This window comes from Homo sapiens, chromosome 4 (genome assembly GCF_000001405.40).
Source record: "Homo sapiens chromosome 4, GRCh38.p14 Primary Assembly".
NCBI lineage: Eukaryota > Metazoa > Chordata > Mammalia > Primates > Hominidae > Homo > Homo sapiens.
Window position 1 is genome coordinate 73,571,215 of NC_000004.12, and position 15,754 is coordinate 73,586,968.

General features: G+C 35.3%; 1 protein-coding gene across 14 annotated transcripts in view; it reads right to left on the reverse strand.

The window, feature by feature from the left end:
* Positions 1–335: 335 nt before the first annotated feature.
* Positions 336–15,754, reverse strand: part of RASSF6 (Ras association domain family member 6) — a 49,082-nt gene continuing 33,663 nt past the window's right edge. For 8 of the 14 annotated variants that reach the window (NM_201431.2, XM_047449709.1, NM_001270392.1 and 5 more), the window contains 6 exon segments: positions 336–5,096; positions 5,196–5,293; positions 5,399–5,517; positions 10,603–10,654; positions 10,975–11,076; positions 13,966–14,150. In NM_201431.2, the coding sequence (NP_958834.1) occupies positions 5,021–5,096; positions 5,196–5,293; positions 5,399–5,517; positions 10,603–10,654; positions 10,975–11,076; positions 13,966–14,150 (632 nt within the window). In that variant the 3' untranslated portion in view covers positions 336–5,020. 14 annotated transcript variants of the gene reach the window in all.

Below are 15,754 nucleotides of genomic sequence, written 5' to 3' on the forward strand. Positions count from 1 at the left end.
TTTGTAGGTCAAATATTGGCAATTTCAAATGGCTCAATCTAATAGGTATTAGATGTTATTAATTTAGAAGACAAATGAATGTCATTGAAAGGTTTTGCCCTCTGTAACTACATCCTATTTCTTGTTCTTTCCCATATATATGCCTCCACCTAATAGTTATACCTGCTGTCTTTATCACTTCATCAATTGCATTGCAAGGGGCTTCTTTCCCCTTCAGTTTCAAAAACCAATCTAAATAGCCCTAAACCAAATTAAACAGTAATGACACCTAACTGAATATTTCATAGTAGAGCCAAGAGATAATAAAATATACCACTATATCAGGGAAAAACATATATATATATATAATGTTTAATATTTTTTCAGCTATGGGACCAGACTTGTAATAAGTAATACATACATATGGGGAATTTTATAAAAATATTTCAGATAATTCCTTCACTCATTCATTTATTCTTTCATTCACTTATTTATTCAATCAATTTTTATTGAGCACATCCTACGCACAAGACACAATATTAGGTACAGAAAAGCTATAAAGATAAATGTGACACATTCTTTACCATTAATAATAATATATATTATCTAAAATTTAATTTGAGCTAATATATAACTGACAATGAAATATTTGGACCACCTAAAACAAGGATAAATTATTCTGTGACAAGTTTATATTCTTGCATTATGCAAAAATGATTCGAAAATAAACTATTTTTTTCCCAGAAATTGTATGAGCTATACATTGCTATGTAACAAATTGCCCCAAATTTAGCGGCGTACTACAACAAACACTTCTTATCTCATACAGTTTCTGAGGATGAGGAATCCAGAATGGTTTCCTTGGGTTTTCTGGCTGAAGGTCTCTCATGAAATTACGGTCAAGCTATTAGACAGGGCTGCAGTCATCTGAAGGCTTGACTGAGGCTGGAAGATCTACTTCTAAAATGGCTGTTGACAGGAGGCCTCAATTCCCTGCTGGCATTTGATAGAAGGTCTCAGTTCTTCATCATGTAGGTCTTTCCAGGGCTGCTCAGGACATGGCAGTTGACTTCCCCCAGAGCAAGTGGTCCAAGAGAGAGCAAGGAGGAAGCCACAGTGACTTTTATGACCTACTTCAAAGTCTCACAGTCTCTTCCATTTTCCTGTATTAAAAGTAAGTCCCTAATTGCTAAAAGAGTACATTTTTAAATGTTCTCACCACAAAGAAATTATAAGAGGTTATGGATATGTTAATTAGCTTGATTTAATAATTCCATAATGTATACATATATAATAATATAATATTGTACCCCATAAATACATACAATTATTATTTGTCAATTAAAAATAAAATAAAAAGACGTAAGTCACTAAGTCCAGCCCATTTTCAGGATGAGGAAGATTAAGCTTCATCTCTTCAAAGGAGAAGAATCAGACTTTATGGATATAAAACTACCACAGAAGTGATGTTAATGTCTCATTTGAATAATTGATTTGAAATTTTTTGCATTTGGTAGAACTCTGTGCTTGCATGTGCTTGTTACTTTTTTGTTCATAAGTTTTAAATAATAACTTTACTATTTCCTGATGTAAAAAGTAACAAATATAAACTATAGAACACTTAATACAGATAGGGAAGTTAGAAAAACATGAATCACTCATAATTCTACAATGCAGATATAGCCATTTTTAACATGTTTTTATTTCTTGTGTGTATATATATGCAAATATTAGTGTTCACACACACAAATACATATATATATACACACACATACATATATAATATATATGCCTTAAGTACATAATAAATATTTTGGAACATGTGTATGTGTATATTCTTATTTAGATATATAAGAATTTACCCCTGTAATTAAAATTACTTGGAAACAGAATTTTAATGGCTACATAACAATATACAAATAAATGTTTATTTCCCTCTTTTTTTTTTTTTAGAGACGGAGTCTTGCTCTGTCGTCCAGGCTGGAGAGCAGTGGCGCCATCTCGGCTCATGCAACCTCCGCCTCCCGGGTTCAAGCGATTCTCCTGCCTCAGCCTCCCGAGTAGCTGGCATTATAGGTGCCTGCCATTGCACCCGGCTCATTTTTTGTATTTTTAGTAGAGGCAGGGTTTCACCATGTTGGCCAGGCTGGTCTCGAAATCCCAACCTCAAGTGATCCACCTACCTTGGCCTCCTAAAGTGCTGGGATTACAGGCGTGAGCCACCGTCCATGGCCTATTTCCCTCTTTCATCTTTTAAAATAATTTTCTGAACATTTAGGCTTTTTATTTCCTTTTGTCACAATAAATAACAATATAAAACATATCTTTGCAGAATGTCTTTGTATCTCTGGTTATTTTCATATGATAGGATCTTACAAGTAGAATTATAGGATAAACAGACTACTAAATTGCCTTCAAGAAAAATTATATCTATTTGTATTTTTACCAGAAGTTTGAGTCCCCATCTCATGGTGATTTATTGAGTATTTAATGTTATCATTTCTTAATCTTTGCTAATAGGCCAAAATGTGTATTTATTTATTTATTTTACTTTGTACTTCGGTGGCATGTCAGTTATTATTTTACTGTCTCTCAGCTCCACATTCACTGTTGGTTGCCCGCTCCGTGAAAATAGATATAGACTCTTGAAATGTTTCCTTTGCAGCTTGCATGATGGCATACTTTGTCAGTAGAGGGCGCTGGAGACACACTGCAAGAGGAAGGGGTCTTTCCTGATTCCTCCAGGCTGACAGGCCAGGCTACTGGAGAGCAGGCTTTTTTCCTTCACTACTTTGCCTGGAGTGGTTTCTGCAGTGCTGGTTGCCTGTAGGGTGCAGCTTTCTCCAGCATTTCTCCACTTGCTTCTCTAGCTTTTGCTTTGGGCAGTGGTGGTATAACCTGGAGCCACAGTGCAAGCCGGTCCTGAAGCTCCAATTGCTGCTCTCCATTTCTTCTCTTCAGCTGGGTGCACACTCATACAGAGGACCCTGCTGGGCTGGCCAACTACTGAGCCACTTGCCTGAGCTTTGTCTTGTGCAGTCTCGTCACACAAAGTTATGCTAGGTTCCTGCAAAGTAGGTCCCTCCGGCTCCTAATCCCAACAGTGCCTCGAACAGAACCCGTGACTCCTTCTTTGTGCTTACCCTTTGGCAAAGCCCCAAGTCCCTCTGCATATCTGCCCACCTGCCTCAGCTGGTCCACACCTAGGGGGTTGGCTGTACCAGCTTGTCCAGTATCTGTGGTCCTGCTCTGGCCTGGGCAAGCCAGCAAACTTCTCTCCAGTGGGCTGCAACCACACCTTCTCCAGTGAATTCTGAAACCCTCATTCCTGCCTTTCCTTGTTAGGATTCTTTCCCTCAGCCTTAGGGTACCTTCTCTTTTCATCTTTATTATTATTCTCCTATCATAGCTTAATTATTATTTATATTAAACTTTCCCTGTTTAAATTACTACCTTGTTTCTGTCTTCTGATTGATACAGACTAACACAGTTGTTCACTGTTAAGATACGACTTTTTTCATATACTTAGTGGCCATTTGCATTCTCTCTTCTGTGATTTTTCTTTTCATATCTACCTTTTTTTTCTATGTAAGACTTGGTTCTTCTCTTATACATTTCAGTCTATTGAAGACTAACCTTTTGTCATGTTCATGGCAGGTACATGACACTAGTTTTTTATAAGTATGTTGAATTTTAACTATTACATTTGCCTCATTTAAGTGAGATGAGACTATTTTCTTATTAATATTGACAGGTGAAAGAATAGCGATGCAAGCCTCTGGTTTACTCAGTAAGAGAGACTTCTTAGGCTTGAAAAGGCCATAGCACACTTTCACCTTCAACCAGTTTAGGTTTGGTAATACTGAGAAGTAATGCCTTTGTCTTAAAAATGTTTCATATTTTAATATTGTTAATCTTCCAGTTGGGTTTACTGCATATAATCTCATTCCTTAGTACATGTAATATGATCAATTTACTACAATGCTTATGAGGAATGCAAATGGAATTAGTTTACAGAATGAAAGAATGTTGCATATAATTCCATTTTAATACAGAATTTATAAATAAAATCATAGTTTATACTTATAGCATTTCTTCATTTTTAGTGTTTTTTTTTCAAGTGGGTTAAACAGATCTGTGAGTACCTTGAGAGTTGTCATGTAGAATAAGATGCTAAGAGGGCAGAGTTTGGGATTCCCTATGTAACTTCAGCTACAACAGCCTTGCTTTATCCATTGTATTCATTCAGCAACAAATAGGTATTTGTGGGCCAAGTCTTACTTTAGCCGATGTAATATGTCTATGTGATATAAACATTTTTTTGAAAAATAAATAAAGAAAAAGTTCAATTAACTTAAAAAAGAGCTTAAGAAAAGCTTTGAACTGATGAAAGGTCTTTCATCAGCAGAAGAGAGAGAATAAAAGGGCTGGGGGGAGGTTCAGAAAATTTCAATTAGGATTTCTTAACAGAGTCCATAATTTTTCCTTTCCAAAGGCCAGACAGCTCTGATGTTACAGATAGTCAGAAGTCAACAGGCCATTTAAGATAGTCCTAGATTTTATGAAAATGCCAGAGTTTTCAAGAAGCTACTGTCACTATCAGGTAGATTCCTTGATGGTGTAAGACTGTATTTCTTTTTCATTCCAAGAACTGGCAGCTTCTTTTTTCTGAGTCATTTCTGAATCCATTGATTATGTTTCAGTTCTCTTGAGAGTCCAAGCTAAATGAAGTTTAAACTGCTTATCTGAAGACACCATTTAAATTTGAGTTCATTACATGGTTTACTATAAAAGCTATTTGGCATATGCAGTATTCAAGCTTATTTCAGTTACTGAAACTAAACTCAAACTCATTTTGTCCAACTGTGAACCCTAATTAACCTCATCACTTCAAAAAGAAATGAGCTTTTTTTGACATTCAATTTTCTACGATTCAAGTCTCATATATGTTCGTATAAATGCAAGTACAGAACTTATGCATTCATCAAAGAGTAATATCTCTGAGTTTTTTGAAATGTTTTAGCAATAGAAGCTTGTACTGCTAAACTGTTGTCTCTGTTTTTATTACTAGTTTATTTTGAAGACATTTCAGTATAATCGCCTTTTCTTTATTGAATCTGAAAATGAGAAGAAGAAAGACTATTAAAAATTGGACATATTTTGTGCATTGGACATATTAAAGAACGGAGTATCCAATGTGCATGCTCTTGACTTACTTTGTTACTATTCTTTGAATCTCTCTTTTCTCTTCTTCATTTAATCTTTGAAGAATGGATTCCAAGAGAGAAAAGTGAAAGTTAATGTACTGAGCCACCTAAGAAAGAAGAAGAAGAAAAAAAAAAGAAAGCAGAACAATTATGCAAGAGGTGCTGAGTCAGGAGGGAAGCAAAAAACAGATTCAGGGTGATGGTATTCATACATCACTGCTAATTTCTTCTGCATCTTTATCCATGAGGAAAATGCGAGCATTCTTTTCAGAAGGTCCCTGTAGGAGCCTCTGCAGTAGCGGAATGTCTGTCTTCTTTAGTCGTCTTTGTTCTGCAGTGAAAACAAGAATCAACCACAATCAGAAGTTCATGCTGCAGGAAAAGAAGGAAGATAATTTTCCAATTTATTTTTCGTATTTAACTCACTTTGAAAAAAATAACACCTGCAACAGGAGGCAATTACTCAAAAAAGCAAATTGAAATTAAAACTTAAATGAACTTCTTTCTCTTACTGTATCTCAAGTTTTGATTAATGTCTCAAAGAACTCAGCCTTCCTTTGATTAGAGTGTTCAAACAAATCTCCGGTCTGATAGGCCTTTTATAAAGCAATATGCCTCAATAATTATTTAGGTTTCATTCCACCATTCCTTCATCCATACAACAAATATTTATTGGTTCTTTCCAAGTTGAGTTGATGTAATTCCATCTTTCTGGTTCTTCAGGTCCAAAACCATGTAATTATTTTCAATTCTTCCTTTGTCTCGCTCCACACCCAATTCTTGGCTCATCTTTAAAAATATATTCATGAGGTTTTTGAGATCAATAATATTCTTATTATTCATTCATCTGGGCTTAATCCATTCAGCCATGAAAATGAGATAGAGAAAGAAAATATCTTCCAATCTGGTGTGTTTCCAGAACTTCAAATTTCCAAAAGTTATAATATAAATACTCCTGCTACAAAAGTACTTATAGCTTTCTGTCAAAGTAGTTTCACATCTGGGATTTCATTTTTATCAGAATAAAGCATGAACAAAACATAGTGTCCTTATATTCATCTTATTTCCTCATTCTCTCCTTCACCTTGCTTACTTTCTTCAGAACAGTGAGAACTGTTCTCATTCCCTGAGCTGGACTTATCCCAGGAAAAGAGTCAAGAGAGAGTCTAGAACTCAAAAGCCCAGCCTCCCCACAATTAAAGTGATATTACCCATTCCTGTTCACATAGTGTCAGTGTTTACTGTTCTAATTCCTCTGCCATTTCTGAAGCAGTTGGGAGCCTTGACAACTTAGCTCCTCTCATCCACCCACCAGAATCCTCTTTTGACCTTCAGGTCCAATGTTAACTTGGCTTAGCATCCTCTTGCTTCATGATTCTGCTTTATGGGATGATTATTAAAAATAATGATTAAAAAATTATGATGATGATTATTAAAAATGCATATTCCTAGAGTTGTCCCCTGATCTGGAAGGACTTGGGAATCTGTATTTTAAGTGAACTCTATAGGTAATCTGAAATGAACTACAGTGTGAGATACACTGTAATGGGCTTTGTAGATATAAAGTTAAAACCCACCTATCTCTGTTTTCCAGATTACTGCCCAAACAGGAGCCATATGCTCTCTTCTGACCTAGTTATTATTATCTGCAGTTATGGATATATGCAAAATTTTGACACAAAATATAAAAGAAAATGGGATTTTTATAGGTGAAATTATAAAGAACTACATTTTTTATAATGAAAATAGACATTTTTTTCTTATAAAAACAACACGCTTGTTCGTTCATAGGTCCAGCACCTTGTGTGGAGCCCAAGAATGACTGGAAGGAAACTAAGCCATATTTCTGCTCAACTGCAGGCTAAAGTTAGAGGTGTGAGGAAAGAACGAGGTGCATGTGAATGGAATCCAAGTCTTGGAGAACACCAAAGAGGGAATTTTCAAATCTTGTACAACCTAGCTGTTCAAGTTATCACACAATCATTTAAGACTTCTTAATAAAACTGCTTTTTTTAAACTTAAAAAAAAATTCCCTTCCCCAAACATGCATGCTATTGTAATTGGAACAAACGAGAAAAGTATAAAGCAGGAAGTAAAGCACAACTGGAATTTCCAAGCCCTGAGATACTCTGCATTACCCTTTGAGTGTCCCCCTCACACAACTCATAATACATAAAGGTAATCATATCGTGCTTGCTATTTTTATTGTACACACCTTTAAACAAATCATTTTTTCTCTTTTTTTTTTTTTTAGACGGAGTGCAATGGCACGATCTCAGCTCACTGCAACCTCCGCCTCCTGAGTTCAAGCGATTCTCCTGTCTCAGCTTCCTGAGTAGCTGGGATTACAGGTGTGCGCCACCACACCTGGCTAATTTTTTTGGTATTTTTAGTAAAGACGGGGTTTCACCATAGTGGTCAGGCTGGTCTCAAACTCATGACCTCAAATGATCCGCCCACCTCGGCCTGCCAAAGTGCTGGGATTACAGGCATGAGCCACCGTGCCTGACACCCCCCTTCTCATCCTCTCATCTGCATTTCCCCAATCCCCCACCAGGTAATCTATCTCAATGGTTTTGTATTTATCACTCCATACCTTTCTCCCTAGTCATAAGACCATATATACCACATACTTAAATGGGAGCTTGTAACTGTTTAAAAAATGGGATCTTTTATATATACCTTTAGGCATCTTGCATTTCTCACTTAAAATATATTATGGAACTCCCTCCATTCTATTGGCATAAATCTACTCATTCCATTCAATGGCAGCCTAACAATCACTTATTTAATCATTTCCCTAGGATGAGTAACTTTGTCTTTAGCTTTTTGTCCTTATAAACAGTGTTACACATAAATCTGTAGGCACTAGTGCTTATATTTTTGTGGGATAGATTCTCACAAATGGAATGGTCAAGTTAAAGGACATATATACTGTAAATTTTAATAAATATTGCAAGAATAAATTCCAATAAGAAGAAAGTCATATTTTCACTAGTGTTGCATAAAAATATCTTTTTACCCTGATGCATGCCAGCCATGGGTAGAATCATTTTAAAGCATTTTGCCAATCTGAGAAGTGCAAGATAATATTACGGTGTGGCTTGAGCTTGCATTTCCTTAGCTACTTGCATTTCACTGAATTTAAGACTTTTCTAAAACTATTTAACTGGTTATTATGGTTTTTCCTTTCAATTGTATTTTCATGCTTTTTTCTATTTTTATCGGATTGTCTGTTGTTTTGTTACCATTTTGTAGGAAATTATTGGTATTATAGTTATTAATCTTTGGAGTACATTGACAATATTCTTTGTAATCTACTATTTGTATCTTTTAAATTGTTACACAGTCCAGTATTGCTACCATTTATTTTATATCTTTTGGTTTTCTTTCTTTCCTAAACAACTAGAATATGAATATATATGTGTCCTTAGAATTTTCCAAAAAATAGATCTTTATTTTATTTTATTTTATTTTTATTATTATTATACTTTAAGTTTTAGGGTACATGTGCACAATGTGCAGGTTAGTTACATATCTATACATGTGCCATGCTGGTGTGCTGCACCCACTAACTCGTCATCTAGCATTAGGTGTATCTCCTAATGCTATCCCTCCCCCCTCCCCCGACCCCACAACAGTCCCCAGAGTGTGATGTTCCCCTTCCTGTGTCCATGTGTTCTCATTGTTCAATTCCCACCTATGAGTGAGAATATGCGGTGTTTGGTTTTTTGTTCTTGCGATAGTTTACTAAGAATGATGATTTCCAATTTCATCCATGTCCCTACAAAGGACATGAACTCATCATTTTTTATGGATGCATAGTATTCCATGGTGTATATGTGCCACATTTTCTTAATCCAGTCTATCATTGTTGGACATTTGGGTTGCTTCCAAGTCTTTGCTATTGTGAATAATGCCGCAATAAACATACGTGTGCATGTGTCTTTATAGCAGCATGATTTATAGTCCTTTGGGTATATACCCAGTAATGGGATGGCTGGGTCAAATGGTATTTCTAGTTCTAGATCCCTGAGGAATCGCCACACTGACTTCCACAATGGTTGAACTAGTTTACAGTCCCACAAACAGTGTAAAAGTGTTCCTATTTCTCCACATCCTCTCCAGTACCTGTTGTTTCCTGACTTTTTAATGATTGCCATTCTAACTGGTGTGAGATGGTATCTCATTGTGGTTTTGATTTGCATTTCTCTGATGGCCAGTGATGGTGAGCATTTTTTCATGTGTTTTTTGGCTGCATAAATGTCTTCTTTTGAGAAGTGTCTATTCATGTCCTTTGCCCACTTTTTGATGGGGTTGTTTGTTTTTTTCTTGTAAATTTGTTTGAGTTCATTGTAGATTCTGGATATTAGCTCTTTGTCAGATGAGTAGGTTGCGAAAATTTCCTCCCATTTTGTAGGTTGCCTGTTCACTCTGATGGTAGTTTCTTTTGCTGTGCAGAAGCTCTTTAGTTTAATGAGATCCCATTTGTCAATTTTGGCTTTTGTTGCCATTGCTTTTGGTGTTTTAGACATGAAGTCCTTGCCCATGCCTATGTCCTGAATGGTAATGCCTAGGTTTTCTTCTAGGGTTTTTATGGTTTTAGGTCTAACGTTTAAGTCTTTAATTATAGATCTTTAAGCTTTCAATTATAAGAACTTTAATTTTATATATGTTTAGAGATACAGCTTTCATTTTCTTAAGGTGTTCTGGCATCAAAATGTATTATTTTATTCTAATAAATTTCTGGCTTGAACATTCTGACACTTAAATTATAGCATGAGTTTTTTCTACAAATTGATATATAAAATTTTTCATTTGTGAAGTTTTAAAAACTTTCATTTCAGTATCACTTTAAGTTTTCTCTATTCTCTCTATTATGCTCCTAGCATCCCACTTACAGCGCCTTCCCAATGTTCTGCTTCTAACCTTTCACCCCTCACCACGAAGTTCTGAATATGCATCTCTACTGAGGAAGAGATAGCACTCCCGCAATGTGTCAGACCCTGTGCTAAAAAAGAGGCAATATCAATGTCAGAGAGAACAGGTATGCAATCATGACTCCTCTAAGAGCAACACTCAGAAAGGAAAGCCAAAAAGAAAGTTACAGAGGTGAGCAAAGACAAAAGTGCCGAAACAGTTCCAGAGGGTTTTGATCTCCATTTAGATAATTTAATGTCTGGCCAACAAGCAAACTCTTTCATATAATCAACCCTTCAGGGATACCTTATTCTTAAGTTATCTTTCTTTAAAATTGTGGACTATAGATAATGTTCTAAAGACCACTCCTTCCTTTTCTCCTACCCATTCCTCCCCTTTCTCCACAGAATGAGGCAAACTGTTCTTCTGCCTTCCCCCTGGGCAGCAAACTGTAGCACTCTAGAGTCAGGTAAAAAGTGTGATCAAGCTTTCTTACCTCCTGTTGCAAAAATAATGTGAAGAGCAAAATCCTGGGGACTATTTTCAATCTGTCAAGGGAAAAAATGAACAAATATAAATTCTTTGTTGTTATATGATGTTTTCTAACCTGACCAGACCCAAATCATGTCTGTTTTCTCTCTTCCATTTTTCACTTTTAGACATAAAATCTTCTCTGCTCTTATGGGAATTATATAATTTTTCAAGGGATAGTTACTAAAAGGTGTTATACAAAGGAAAGAATCTTTCAGTGCTCAACATCCAATTTAGATTTACACCTTTATAGATCTGTTTCAGAAGAGTGGATTTGTGTGTTTATAGTTGAATTATATATAATATATTTATAGCTCAGTTAAGTGATAAAGGTTACCTTAAATTTTTGGAGAAGTTGCTTTATTACTTCTTCAGTTCTCATGTTACTGTTTACTCTGACCTTAGTTTCTGATTCAAAGGCTGGAATGAAAATTGATGTCTAGAAAAAGAATTGTCACATAAGTCTTTAAAATTATATTATATTAAGGGTATTCAATATCTTGAACATAATCTTCTTATAGGGCAAAAAAAATCCAAGGTCATTAATTTAAAAAATTTGTTTTGTTTTTGTTTGTTTTTCTTTGTTGTTTTTGAATATTATGTGTTCTTTTAAGCAGCTTTATATTGTTTCTAGAGTAAATTAGGTAAAACACCATTTGAGGATGCTTATAACATTTTCACTGGACAATTACACCCCTCTTTAGTGCAGTTTAAGATTTCAAAATAAGTAAGAAAGAATGTCACCAGATGCATATTTAAAAACGGATAGAGATATTAAGTAAGGATTTATTTCCACATATTTTATTTATATGCACAATCTCCAAGTATTCCAAGGCTCTGTAGAAATGGGGTGGGTTCAGCAGATGTAGAGATGGGTGGGTTTTGGGGTGGCTCATTGGACTGTTAAAAAGATAAGTCCTATATTGAGAGATCAGTAAATTAACATCAAAGTATACAGACACAAACATTTATAACACCCACACATGTAACACGCACACACACACACACGGCATTTGTGTGAGTAAAAATGTGGATATGTAAATAAGTTTTCTGAGAAGATGTGTGGAGAGTGTCTAGGATAAACTTTTATAAGTATGAGAAAATTCAATATTTGTAGACATTTTAGAGCATTGATAAGTTATTCTGTGACATTTACGATTTCTATGGAGCCCTGAAAAACCACATGTTCATCCTGCGCTAAGGTGAATATGATATGTTGTACACGTGGTTTGATGTTGTTTATGTGAAGAAGCTTCATGCACTATGACAATAACATGGATTACCATTCAGGAGACCTAGATTTTAGTGCCCACTAAATGCCCACGAACTCCAACTTTGTCAACTCATTTAACATCTTTATTGACTCACTTAACATATATTTGATAAATGACTTCATTTATAAAATAAGATAGTAAGACTAATCTCTAAGAGCTCTTCTAAAATGTCAACATATAGTGAATTTGTTTTTCAGAGCAGTATTTAAATCTATAGTCTTTATATCAGTTGTGTTGGCCAAAACATATAATGAAACCTGCTATCATTTACTATCACATTGATAGAAATATACTACTGGTCAAGTTATATTCACCATAACTAATCTCCAGATATGACAATCTAAGCCTTTAATATGTGTGTTATTCATAGCCTAACAATATTGGCATTAACAAGGGGCTTCATAGTATAAAAACATATCTTACGACACACAGCAACTTAAGAAACATATCCACTAAAATTCCTAGATGTCCGTCATTGTATAATTGTTGATAGAATGCTTTGTTTTTTCTTTTTTGTTTGTATTGTTTTCTGCTAGTTATTAAATTGCAGTGAATGACATTTGTGTAAAATATCTATAGTCCCAGCTTGAGCTCATTCAATCAACAGCAACAACATAAGCTAATGTAGACCGAGTTCTTTTGTGCCAGGTACTATTCTTATGCTGAACTTACCTCATTTCATTCCATCCCATCAACAGCCTTGTAAAGTAAGAAGAATGAAACTTGCTCAGCAAGAATGTAAAACCAGGCTGTCAAGCTCCAGGGCCCAAGCATTTAACCACCATTCCGTGCTGCCAACCTAGTGTCAATTTCATTTCCAGCACAAGTGATCCAATCTGAAAGCCACTTGCTTGGAGCAATGTGGCTTTCCTTCTTCAACACAAATTACCCCACAAGATAATGACATACAACACAATTTCTGTGAAGAGGGAAACAGGACAATTGGTAGGTACCTCTCTGTGGGGGACTATCAATGCTACTTTATAGCTATGAGAATGATTCTGGAACCCTAAAATTCTGATATGAATAAATAATTGAGAAGAGAGATTTCTCCCCACCAGGCTCCAAAGACACACTATCGTTACCCCCCAAGGGTAGAAGAAGAAGAAATAAAGTAGAAATCCTTACAGGAAAAAGCCTACAAAGCAATGAGTTCCTATTTCTTATTAAAGGCCTCAGAAGATACCTGGCACAGTGTAAGTGCTAAGTATTTATGAGATGGAGCGATGAATGATTGCTAAAGTACATCACATGAAAAATATTTGAGTTCTGGAAAAAAATGATGATATATTTCCTACCTTCAGCAAAATGTAATGTCTTACAAGCACTATGGAAAGGCACATATAAATTTAACACATATTCAGTGAAAAAGCAGAATGTGAATTGTATCTAAACTACAACTACACTTATATAAAAACGGTATGTGTATAGGTAAAAGACCTGGAACATGGCAACATGAGAAGTTTGATTTATTGGAATAAATTGGCCTGTGGCTTTTTCCTTTTATTTAAATGTTCACGTTCAAATGTCCTTTGATCCAACCACTTTGTAGCACTTACATTATTCCAGTATTATTGTTGGTATGTTGGTTTCCCTGCTCAATCCCTGAGCTCCGTGCTGGCTGAGACATCGGCTGCCTCATCTGCATGTTTTTAATACTTGGCACAGTGATAGAGTTCACCCATCATGGTGGTTAAAAACTTGTGTTCTGGAGTCAGACAAAGCTGGGTTCAGGTTGAGAGTTACTACTTAAGAGTAGCATAATCTAAGACAAATTGCTTAATCTCCATAAGCCTCAATTAGCTTATATGTCAAGTAAAGAAAATAATGGTACCTATTTCATAGGATTGTTTTAGTGATTAATAAGATAATTCAGTAAAAATCTATTTAAAACACATTTACTTTAATATCTAGCACATAGAGAGTGCCCCCAAGATGTTAGACATGCTACTGTTATTATTATGACTTTAAATTGTGAATTGAATTGGGTGGTATTGTTAGTGAAACAGGGAACCTTATTTTATATTACATTAATGGAATTGTAACTCACTTACTTCATGGTTATAGAAGTGTCCATTAATAGAGGCTCTATTTTTCTGTCTTTCTTTTCTGTCCATCATCAGAGGCTTCATCCTTTTTCTCACCAGAGCTGCTTCACTCATGGTTCTATAGAGCACTGGGGAGTCTGGTTCATCCTTTGCATGTGGCTTCAGGGTGTTGCTGTGATAAGATAAATAGTCTGGGAAGAATAGATTATAAGCTCATATCATTCAGCTGCCTGTGTCCTAGCATCCTGAGTGGATTTGTGTATGCTTTCATTAATTTTAGGAATATTGCTATTTTCTGGCTGTGTAAAAGCATTATAGTCCACTGCTTAGCTGCATATTTACTTATTAAATGTTGCCTGAGACTGACTCAGCAAATTCTGCCAGTATCTCATATAAAATTCTTATGTCTCATTCTTATGTTTCATAAGAAATGATCACAATGATCATGTTTGGGGTTTGGGCATTCCTTTAATCTTAATTTATTGGGGAGTGCATTTTGTGGCATTTCAGAGTGTTAGAGCTGGAATAAACCTGATACTTTATCAGGTTTGATCTCTTACAGGTAAGAAAAAGTACAGTGAGTTGAAGTGGCTTTCCTATGGACATAGTACTCATAAATGATAGAATCAGGTCTGGATCCTTATTTTTTTATTTTTATTTTTATTTTATTATTATTATACTTTAAGTTTTAGGGTAATGTGCACAATGTGCAGGTTAGTTACATATGTATACATGTGCCATGCTGGTGTGCTGCACCCATTAACTCGTCATTTAGCATTAGGTATATCTCCTAATGCTATCCCTCCCCCCTCCCCCCACCCCATTATATGTTGGCCCAAGTTCTTTGGAGCTTTTCCTAAAAAATAAACACTGGGCCTTAGTTTTCCTATAAAACTACAGAAAGCTCTTTGAGAAGCTATTTATATGGTATGTGGAGCATTGAAAGATTTTGTTCCCATCTTTTATAAAAGCAAAAGGAATAGTATGCTTTGGACTAGTCCTACTATTTGTAATATATCACATTATGTTCTTTTTAGAACATTCCAGATGTATGATATGAATGACTTTTTCACTTAGTTGTCCACTATCCTATTATTTCTTCTCATTGAGTCATGTATATTTAACAATGATTCATAATTGATTAGTCAAAATTTGGTTACTGAATTATTACAATTTCTATAGCAGATTTTAGAGTATAAAATTATAGTGTAGCGTTGAACAACTCTAGTATCTATTGAGTAGGCAGAAGGTGTTTAAATGGAATTGAATTGAGCTACAATGTGTTACTAGCCTAAGATGCAGAAGATTCAAACCTGCCTTCTGCCCCCCTTTCTGCTTGTATACAATTGATAGTACCTTTTTCAATTTCCTCTCCTATGCATATTCATATGTAAGAATAAGACCATGTGGTGGCATTTGTGTTTTATTTTACTTTAGGATTTTAAAAAATTTTCTACTGTAATTAGAACATTATCAAATAGGCATGAGATATTTCTTCCTTCTCTAGCACTGCTGTTTAAATACAAATATATTTTTATGATGTCTTTGATGCCAAGATACTGGGATTTCCTTGGGTTTCATATATATTTCTAAAAGATAATTGGAAGGGCCGATATTTAACAAGATGTAAAGATCCCATGGCATAAAGAGAAAAGGGAACCCTGGAAGGAACATCATGTTTGTCACAGGATCTGGGTTCCTGTGGAATAGCAGACGAGGCAGAATTGAGAATGATTTGAAAAAAAAAAAAAGAGAACAAACATTGCAAGTTGCTGGTAGGCTTATGAAGTTAATG